General features: G+C 39.7%; 1 protein-coding gene across 1 annotated transcript in view; it reads left to right on the forward strand.

The window, feature by feature from the left end:
- The window catches only part of COL1A2 (collagen type I alpha 2 chain), a 36,333-nt gene extending 26,803 nt beyond the window's left edge, over window positions 1–9,530 (forward strand). Inside the window, exons 39-52 of the mRNA NM_000089.4 lie at window positions 202–255; window positions 1,260–1,421; window positions 2,639–2,746; window positions 3,420–3,527; window positions 3,913–3,966; window positions 4,053–4,160; window positions 4,301–4,354; window positions 4,726–4,833; window positions 5,311–5,364; window positions 5,491–5,598; window positions 5,930–6,188; window positions 6,596–6,780; window positions 7,491–7,733; window positions 8,550–9,530. Coding sequence (NP_000080.2) covers window positions 202–255; window positions 1,260–1,421; window positions 2,639–2,746; window positions 3,420–3,527; window positions 3,913–3,966; window positions 4,053–4,160; window positions 4,301–4,354; window positions 4,726–4,833; window positions 5,311–5,364; window positions 5,491–5,598; window positions 5,930–6,188; window positions 6,596–6,780; window positions 7,491–7,733; window positions 8,550–8,696 — 1,752 coding nt within the window. The 3' untranslated portion in view covers window positions 8,697–9,530. The remainder of the gene's footprint in view (window positions 1–201; window positions 256–1,259; window positions 1,422–2,638; window positions 2,747–3,419; window positions 3,528–3,912; window positions 3,967–4,052; window positions 4,161–4,300; window positions 4,355–4,725; window positions 4,834–5,310; window positions 5,365–5,490; window positions 5,599–5,929; window positions 6,189–6,595; window positions 6,781–7,490; window positions 7,734–8,549) is intronic.

Below are 10,067 nucleotides of genomic sequence, written 5' to 3' on the forward strand. Positions count from 1 at the left end.
TATGCTGGTAAGGAAGATGTGTGGAGAAGGAGGGCCTTCAGGGTCCTGGCTAAATAATGCCCTATATGAAGCTGCCTACCTCCTACTCCTTGGTCTATTCCTGGTCACATGTACTGATTTTCCAAAACAAAGAAATTCCCATCTTACCCAAATTCTTGGAGTTGATGTTGACTGTGGAATTCTAATGTGCTTGGCTCTTAGGGTATGACTGGTTTCCCTGGTGCTGCTGGACGGACTGGTCCCCCAGGACCCTCTGTAAGTAAATCACTGTAAACGTGTCTTCATTTACTCTAGCCAAAAGGCCTGGCTTCTGATAGGAAACTGGTAAGAAACTCTTCATGAAAACACATCACTAATATTCGCTATTACTCTCCTGGTCTGAAGTCAGCTTTTCTGAACCATTAAGGTATTTCATCACAAGTTATATTTTATAATATCAGTTTAAGAGGCTTTTATTCATGTGAACACCAGTCCCCTTTCAGGGGCATGGTCTTTTTGAAAAAAAAAAAACAAAAAAACGAACAGTTTTAGCCACATATCAGATATTTCTATATCTAATTATCCTTTATGGCTAACATTCTGCCTCCATTGTTAAGGTATAATTGTTCCTGAATTTAAAGGTGGTTTGGCCTCTAATTTAATTCTGATTCAGACTCTCCTGTCAGGACTCAAGAAAATTTAATTAATTACCAAGGATTAAGTCTTCTGGTTAAGGTTTCTGGGAAAAAAAAATAGCAAAGATGTTGATTTCTTGGAATCCTTTTACAGGTTCATAACAGAAAAATCTTCATTCCCTGTAGGCATTTAATTAAACCTAGTTGAGAAGTGTGTGGGATTCCTCAATTATGAACAAAACACGTATATTGGCTTTCTTTAAAAAAAAAAAAAAAGAAGAAAAAAGAAAAGGCAAAGTCCTTCGAAACTCAGAGTCCCATTCATTTATCATTAACTCCTATCATTCTACATAGTTCTGATTCCAATATGCCAGGGTACCAGTGGCATGACATTGTTTTTCCTCATAGAAATTTGCCATAGTCTCTCCTCCATTATTTGGTTGGTTACAGCCTCATAAAGGAAGACAGGAGTTGCTTCTTTCTGCAAGAAAGAAGGTTAAAAACTATAAATATTTCCCCCAAATGGCCAGGGTATTATTTTATTGCATCACATTGTTTGCATCTTAAGATCTAGAATCTTTGCTGCTCTCTTCCAGGCCCTTGGTGATTAACAGAAAGGAAATGACCTTGTACATTTGCTCATAGGGTATTTCTGGCCCTCCTGGTCCCCCTGGTCCTGCTGGGAAAGAAGGGCTTCGTGGTCCTCGTGGTGACCAAGGTCCAGTTGGCCGAACTGGAGAAGTAGGTGCAGTTGGTCCCCCTGGCTTCGCTGGTGAGAAGGGTCCCTCTGGAGAGGCTGGTACTGCTGTAAGTGATTTCCAACTCCTCTTTCTTAATACCTTATGCTGAATTAAAATAAAGCCCCTACACAAATCTTCAAGTGGCATCTATTTGTTGATGAGTATTGCAGGCTCTCAAGTAGAGCTCAGTTGAGCCAGGAAATCTGTCCAGCACACACTGAGGGGCTGTGGCTTCCAAGATGCTCAGAAAGCACAAAATCGGGAAGACAATAAATGAGGGAACTCAGTTTTATCACAAAGCCCTTAAAGCTATTGAAGGCACCTTACTGGTACCAGGATTAGAACAGAGTCCCATTGCTGTGGCCATCCTACTACATATTAATCAATCTCAGTAGGCTACCAATTTCTTAAACATACACTGTCCAGTATTAGTGCTACTCTGAAAGGTGCCCCTATTAGACCTTAGAGGCCAAAGTCAAAATTTGCTTCCTTTTGATATACTGATTTTACTGATTTCCTTTTTGTTTTTGTTTTTTGTTTTTGTTTTTGTTTTTTTGTTTTGGGATGGAGTTCCCCTCTGTTGCCCAGGCTGGAGTGCAGTGGCACGATCTCAGCTCACTGCGACTTCCGCCTCCCCAGTTTAAGTAATTATCTTGTCTCAGCCTCCCGAGTAGCTGGGACTACAGGCACACACCATCATGCCTAGCTAATTTTTGTATTTTTAGTAAAGACGGGGTTTCACCATATTGGTCAGGCTGGTCTCGATCTCCTGACCTCAGGTGATCCACCCACCTTGACCTCCTAAAGTGCTGGGATTACACATGTGAGCCACCCCACCCAGCCTGATTTCCTTTCCTTTGTGTATATACCCAGCAGTGTGATTGCTGGATCTTATGGTAGTTCTATTTTTAGTTTTTTGAGGAACCCCTCCTACTATGTACAACTATTATGTATCCATAACAATTTAAATTTTTTTATTTGTTTCCCTGCCTAGAGGCTATAAAAACTCTATTTCACCACCCCAAGTGTCTTTATAAATCTCAACCACATATTTTTAAATGTTGTGCCATTGGTCTCAAGGATGAATCAGATACAAAAGTATTCATGCCAAGATGTAAACTCACCGTCATCACTAGAGAAAAGATATCCAAGGATATGTCCTAGTAATAGGAGGTCATTAGCCTTTTTCTAAGCTGAAGACAGTTTATTCTCACAATCTTCAAGCCAACCTGTGTTATCACCTAGGGTCTTACCCATAATACTCAGTATTTTTTCTCTATTTAGGGACCTCCTGGCACTCCAGGTCCTCAGGGTCTTCTTGGTGCTCCTGGTATTCTGGGTCTCCCTGGCTCGAGAGGTGAACGTGGTCTACCAGGTGTTGCTGGTGCTGTGGTGAGTGCTTGACAGTATTCTGACTCCATTAACATAAGAAAAGATTTTAAAAGCTGCCACTTCAAATGTGACAGATTGATCACTGAATAACTTCACTTAAGATTTTTATTCATGGCATTTTCTTTATACAGATCACATGTCACTTATCTAAGAAGCTTTAATACCACCTTACTTAGACACACACTATAAAGACACAGCTTAAAATTATGCAGAATGATTTTTGTTCTTTCCACGCACTTAGGAATGATACAATCTCTAATTGCGTTTACTCCTCTGCAATATGAAATGCTGGCATCATTTATCCTGTAGGAAGAATGAAACTCTGGAAGTTCTGAATCGTTCCATTAAACCTTATACGTGACAACAACTAGAAACCATCTCATCTCCATAAAATATATCAACTTTTTGAATTCATTTCATTTGGGATACTGAATGACACGAGGCTCACTTTTTACAGAGCAACATCCCGTGATTACATAAAGCTGGCCATCTACATGTGGAGAAGGAGGGCAGAGATGATACTAATGATACTTCTTACCATTGTGTGACCCATTCACATTCAATTTACCTTCTTCCTTCAAACTAGAATCTCCTGAGTAGGGTTGTTTTGGAGGGGAAGGTTAGCATTCCATCGAATAAGGGGAATGTCATTTTATCTTCTCTGCCTGTTTAGGGTGAACCTGGTCCTCTTGGCATTGCCGGCCCTCCTGGGGCCCGTGGTCCTCCTGGTGCTGTGGGTAGTCCTGGAGTCAACGGTGCTCCTGGTGAAGCTGGTCGTGATGTGAGTCCAACACTTGGTTTGTAAAATAAAACTGAGCAGGATTTCATTGTGTGAAACTTTATGTCCTGAGCTGAGGTTCTCTTCTTCCAAATTTCTGAACAAGATGGTCAGCTTCTCCATAGTATCTACACCTAGTACTGAAAATATGAAAATTGCTTAGGCCAAAGAATGGGCTTTTCAATAGCACACTGCAAAACTGGGCCCAAGTATTTAAAACATCTCTAAAAAATATCTAGGTTGGCAGGTTTTTATCCCTAGTTTTAACAGTCTGAAAGAGGGTTCGTTACTGAGCACTGGAAGTGATGAAGACAGAGTAGCTACAACATAGGGGCTGGTAGGCAGCAGAGCCTCACCAACAGCCTTAATTTGTGTGGTGTCTTCACAGGGCAACCCTGGGAACGATGGTCCCCCAGGTCGCGATGGTCAACCCGGACACAAGGTCAGTACACTTTTCATCTTTCTCTAATTCAAAAGTGATTAAAATGCAACCCAGATTGATGCTAAGCTTCATTTTGCCTTTGGTAGGGAGAGCGCGGTTACCCTGGCAATATTGGTCCCGTTGGTGCTGCAGGTGCACCTGGTCCTCATGGCCCCGTGGGTCCTGCTGGCAAACATGGAAACCGTGGTGAAACTGTAAGTTTGTGAATACCAGTCCCTCAGTGCAGCATTCTCGTGGGCTTCACTTCTGACTTCCCCACACTTGGGGATGGTGGAGGAGTGGGGAGGGGTATCTTGGGCCTAGCTAAGTTGTGTTTTTCTTTTTCATTTCACAGGGTCCTTCTGGTCCTGTTGGTCCTGCTGGTGCTGTTGGCCCAAGAGGTCCTAGTGTATGTACATGCTGAAGATTTCTTTGCAACACTAACATTTAGAGAGAATCAGTCCAAAACATCTGTTAAGAAAATAAACAATATATCAGCTAGACTTAATATTTTTTAAAAATTTCAGTCCATGCTGAGAATTGATACAAATAACTTGAGCTATTTTAAATCTCTTATGCTTGTTTGTATTAAACAATTACAAGGATCTAGCCACTTTACAGATAGCACAACTAAAGCAGATTACCAGCAGAGGTGAGAGCCTAGCTAAACCATTACATGTCCTGAGTTACCTTTGTAAACGAATTAAGCAGTATTTGTGGTGAAGTGAGTGCCATTTTTTTAAAACGGTAAGTCTTATCCATCCTTCTGTTTCTTTATAGGGCCCACAAGGCATTCGTGGCGATAAGGGAGAGCCCGGTGAAAAGGGGCCCAGAGGTCTTCCTGGCTTAAAGGGACACAATGGATTGCAAGGTCTGCCTGGTATCGCTGTAAGTAAACTGTAGCCATCTCGCACATAAACTGATCCTGAAGGCCTTCAGCTCAGAAGGATTTTCATATTTTCACTGCTATTGTTCCAGTATAGCCTATATAATATCCATTTCCCATTCTCTGGCTAACTCCATCTCACTCTTGGAGGTAATGCTATTTCATACCAACATGAAAGGTGAGGATTAAGGGAGATAGAAATAGACATACAATAAAATCTCCTGGTAACAATGTCCTTCAACCCCACTTAAAATAAACATAATTAGAGGAATGACTAATATTGCACTGCTGAAATAGGTTGTGAAAAAAAAATTGAATATAATAGACATAATGGGAGAAAAGAGCCCCACTTTACATTTTCAATTTTCTCAATCCGGAGTCCATTTAACTAAAGTTTCCCATTCAATTTGGAAAAAAAAAAAAAATATGTCTCTTGACATGTGCTCTGAAAGTGTGATTTTCCTCTTCTGTCTTTAAAGGGTCACCATGGTGATCAAGGTGCTCCTGGCTCCGTGGGTCCTGCTGGTCCTAGGGTAGGTGGACTCAAGAGAAGACAGTTCATCTCTGAAATAGAGGCTAAAGCGAGCAGTGAGCCCCAGGCTGCTGCTCCCTTGGTGGGATTCACCAGCTCACATGTACCTGGTGTCTGTCTTCCTTAGGGCCCTGCTGGTCCTTCTGGCCCTGCTGGAAAAGATGGTCGCACTGGACATCCTGGTACAGTTGGACCTGCTGGCATTCGAGGCCCTCAGGGTCACCAAGGCCCTGCTGTAAGTATGATTTGGGGAAATAATAAAGAAGATCACGGACCTAAGGAATGTTTTCTTCAGACTAAACCAAGACAACTTTGACAACCCATTAAAGTTAGCCCCATTTCAATATATCCTCTAAAATATCTGGAAATTGTCTATATGCAATGGGCTTGTTAAGTCCATCCCTGCAAGTGTGCCTGGGGGCTCGTTATTTATTTATGTGAACTTGATTATTTTTTACTGATGAGAACATGCTTCCGTGTGAAGCTCAACTGAAAATCTGCTGCCATGGATGTCTCTCACTGTAACAAAATATAAAGCCTCTCCTATCTCACTTTCACCTTTGCAGGGCCCCCCTGGTCCCCCTGGCCCTCCTGGACCTCCAGGTGTAAGCGGTGGTGGTTATGACTTTGGTTACGATGGAGACTTCTACAGGGCTGACCAGCCTCGCTCAGCACCTTCTCTCAGACCCAAGGACTATGAAGTTGATGCTACTCTGAAGTCTCTCAACAACCAGATTGAGACCCTTCTTACTCCTGAAGGCTCTAGAAAGAACCCAGCTCGCACATGCCGTGACTTGAGACTCAGCCACCCAGAGTGGAGCAGTGGTAGGTCAAGATGTCCAGACCAGACTGACCCTTCTCACAAGTTGAGCTTTTCAAAATTAGTTTCCATTGACATTTAGAGTGAAAATGCATTTGGGTAAAGATTACATTATGTGAAATCACACCCAATTAATGGAGCGTCATCTTCTCCCAACCAGCACCCAACCTCATTTCCCTTAAAATGTATTTTTGCACTTTTCATAGTAATAAGTACCCTGATTTGATTTTTCATGGAGGAGGGGAGGGAAGGAACTGTCTAATCTTAAAAATAGCCACCCTCTTCCTCTTAAATATGGGGTAGACAATCAAAAATGTTACTTATGAGAGTCAGTATCTTTCATTAGTTATTATTAGAATCTGTGTTCTGCTCAATGAGAAGTTTCATGATCTGAATGTTATTTTCTTAAAAGGTTACTACTGGATTGACCCTAACCAAGGATGCACTATGGATGCTATCAAAGTATACTGTGATTTCTCTACTGGCGAAACCTGTATCCGGGCCCAACCTGAAAACATCCCAGCCAAGAACTGGTATAGGAGCTCCAAGGACAAGAAACACGTCTGGCTAGGAGAAACTATCAATGCTGGCAGCCAGGTGAGGAATCCCACAAACACCTCTCCTTCTGCTAAATAATATTTTGGTAGGACTGTTTGTTAATTATCTGCATTTTAATCTCTGACAAAAATGGGCTTATTAAAAAAAGACCTGTTCCTTTCCTGGGTTCCAATTTTGTCCTAAATTGCACATTAGAAGATGGATTGATTGGACACATCCATGTAATTCAAAGTTATTATTCAAATTTGACTTAATTGGTAATCATTGAAAAAACTGACTAATGTCATTTAGTGTGAAGGAGCACTGGCCAGCTATATGCCACACTCATACATATGCATTTTCAGAATGTGAGCAGCTTTTCTGAATTTTTAATCAAACCTTTTCACCAACTTTACTGAATGCCTACTGGAATTCCATAAATTACAAAATGACAGAAAAAGAAAAATGTCAGAATTTCTACCTCCTCATTCTCTTATTCTAAAGAAGAAGCATATGCAAAAAGGATTAATTGAAACAGATAACTTTTTTAGATGACCTTGCCTCAGTCTAGTAGGTCTTATGTTCATCTAGGTAACTGATACTTCAAAGACAAGTGAATTAAGTTTTCTTTAAAAGTACCCTTTTCCTAAGCTTGGATCTGAGTCTACTCTTCCTGAGATCTTTTTTTTTCTTTTTTTTTTTTTTCATGTTTGACTCTTAGTATCTGAGTCCTTCTCCACTTAACTGGAATTTCATCCTATTTTCTGTAGTTTGAATATAATGTAGAAGGAGTGACTTCCAAGGAAATGGCTACCCAACTTGCCTTCATGCGCCTGCTGGCCAACTATGCCTCTCAGAACATCACCTACCACTGCAAGAACAGCATTGCATACATGGATGAGGAGACTGGCAACCTGAAAAAGGCTGTCATTCTACAGGGCTCTAATGATGTTGAACTTGTTGCTGAGGGCAACAGCAGGTTCACTTACACTGTTCTTGTAGATGGCTGCTCTGTAAGTAATAGTGAAATATGGGAATAGCTTTGGGAAGTGGGATGGAGGGGGTTCTAACTTAGACTGCCCCCAAGGGGGGGTCTAAAGGGGGGTTAAAAGAACAGAAGAATGAGAGAACTAACTTATTTCATAAGTAAATTCAGTTTTTGTATGTATTTTATATTTATTTATTTATACGTATTAATTTCGTACTTAAATTCAGATGATAAATTCAGAGTATTCTTATCAGATAGTGCCTTCTGAAATGCTGAAATGTATACTATGTCCATGCATTGTTTTTTCTTTAGCATGTTTTTTAAATGGTAATGTGTGCCCAGAACTTAAAATTTCTTGAGACTTCAGTGGCCTAAACTATAATTTATAGTTATGTGTATTTTATTTTACTTATTAGTATGGCCTACATTTAACTTTTAATGCTTTTTCTACAATATGCTATAAATATAAGAAAAATTAAAATTCACTAACAGCAAGACTACATACCCACCCAGGTCCCGCTCCCAAAGACACACATAGAGGGACATACACACAACAATCCTAAAAATGACTTTGTAGAGATAGGTCACTTGGAATGTGTGTTGAAATGTTGTTGGTTTTTTTGGTTTGTTTGTTTGTTTGTTTTTTGTTAGACTGATAGGGAGCCCCTCCCACTAAAGACACCCTTGATACTGTTATTTCAAGGATGAACTTATTTATCTGGGACAGACATCTTCAGAATGACACATGCCAAACAGTGGTTCTTATTAAATCAAAGGTTCAGATATTATCAGATTCAGAAATAGTGATGCTTTGTGTATCTATTTTCTTCTCTTTAAACAGAAAAAGACAAATGAATGGGGAAAGACAATCATTGAATACAAAACAAATAAGCCATCACGCCTGCCCTTCCTTGATATTGCACCTTTGGACATCGGTGGTGCTGACCAGGAATTCTTTGTGGACATTGGCCCAGTCTGTTTCAAATAAATGAACTCAATCTAAATTAAAAAAGAAAGAAATTTGAAAAAACTTTCTCTTTGCCATTTCTTCTTCTTCTTTTTTAACTGAAAGCTGAATCCTTCCATTTCTTCTGCACATCTACTTGCTTAAATTGTGGGCAAAAGAGAAAAAGAAGGATTGATCAGAGCATTGTGCAATACAGTTTCATTAACTCCTTCCCCCGCTCCCCCAAAAATTTGAATTTTTTTTTCAACACTCTTACACCTGTTATGGAAAATGTCAACCTTTGTAAGAAAACCAAAATAAAAATTGAAAAATAAAAACCATAAACATTTGCACCACTTGTGGCTTTTGAATATCTTCCACAGAGGGAAGTTTAAAACCCAAACTTCCAAAGGTTTAAACTACCTCAAAACACTTTCCCATGAGTGTGATCCACATTGTTAGGTGCTGACCTAGACAGAGATGAACTGAGGTCCTTGTTTTGTTTTGTTCATAATACAAAGGTGCTAATTAATAGTATTTCAGATACTTGAAGAATGTTGATGGTGCTAGAAGAATTTGAGAAGAAATACTCCTGTATTGAGTTGTATCGTGTGGTGTATTTTTTAAAAAATTTGATTTAGCATTCATATTTTCCATCTTATTCCCAATTAAAAGTATGCAGATTATTTGCCCAAATCTTCTTCAGATTCAGCATTTGTTCTTTGCCAGTCTCATTTTCATCTTCTTCCATGGTTCCACAGAAGCTTTGTTTCTTGGGCAAGCAGAAAAATTAAATTGTACCTATTTTGTATATGTGAGATGTTTAAATAAATTGTGAAAAAAATGAAATAAAGCATGTTTGGTTTTCCAAAAGAACATATTGAGTAAAATTCCTTGCTTCAATGCTCTTTGCAATATAAATATGCATCTCTACCAGCCATTAGACCAAGTGCCTCTGATTAGATAGAAATTATGCAAAAAGGGCAGTTTGGTGTGGTAGAAAGAGCAGAGAACGAGGACCCAGGAGAGCTGAACTCCAGTTCTGGCTCTGTTCCTTGTGGCTGAGTGACCTTGAAACTCTGAGCCTCTGCATTTCAGTTTCCATAGCTATAATATGAAAAAATTCCTTTTCAGCACTATTAAGCATTTGCCCTACTCAAAATATGTAATATTTAAGCAACATGGCATTTTTGACCTAATTTTACTATAACCAAAGGTCTATAGAAACTTGGTTTATTATATATTAAGCACTTTATAACAGTGGCTGAAAGTTGGTCTATGAGCAATTAATACTATTAACTAAAACAGTTTCAAATATTCAGTAAAAATGCCATACACTTAAATCTGAGGCAACTGAATACAATGCCTGTTAAGAGGTAATGTGTGTGCTGTCAATCAGGATAGACAGTTGTG

Source organism: Homo sapiens, chromosome 7 (assembly GCF_000001405.40).
Source record: "Homo sapiens chromosome 7, GRCh38.p14 Primary Assembly".
Lineage (NCBI taxonomy): Eukaryota > Metazoa > Chordata > Mammalia > Primates > Hominidae > Homo > Homo sapiens.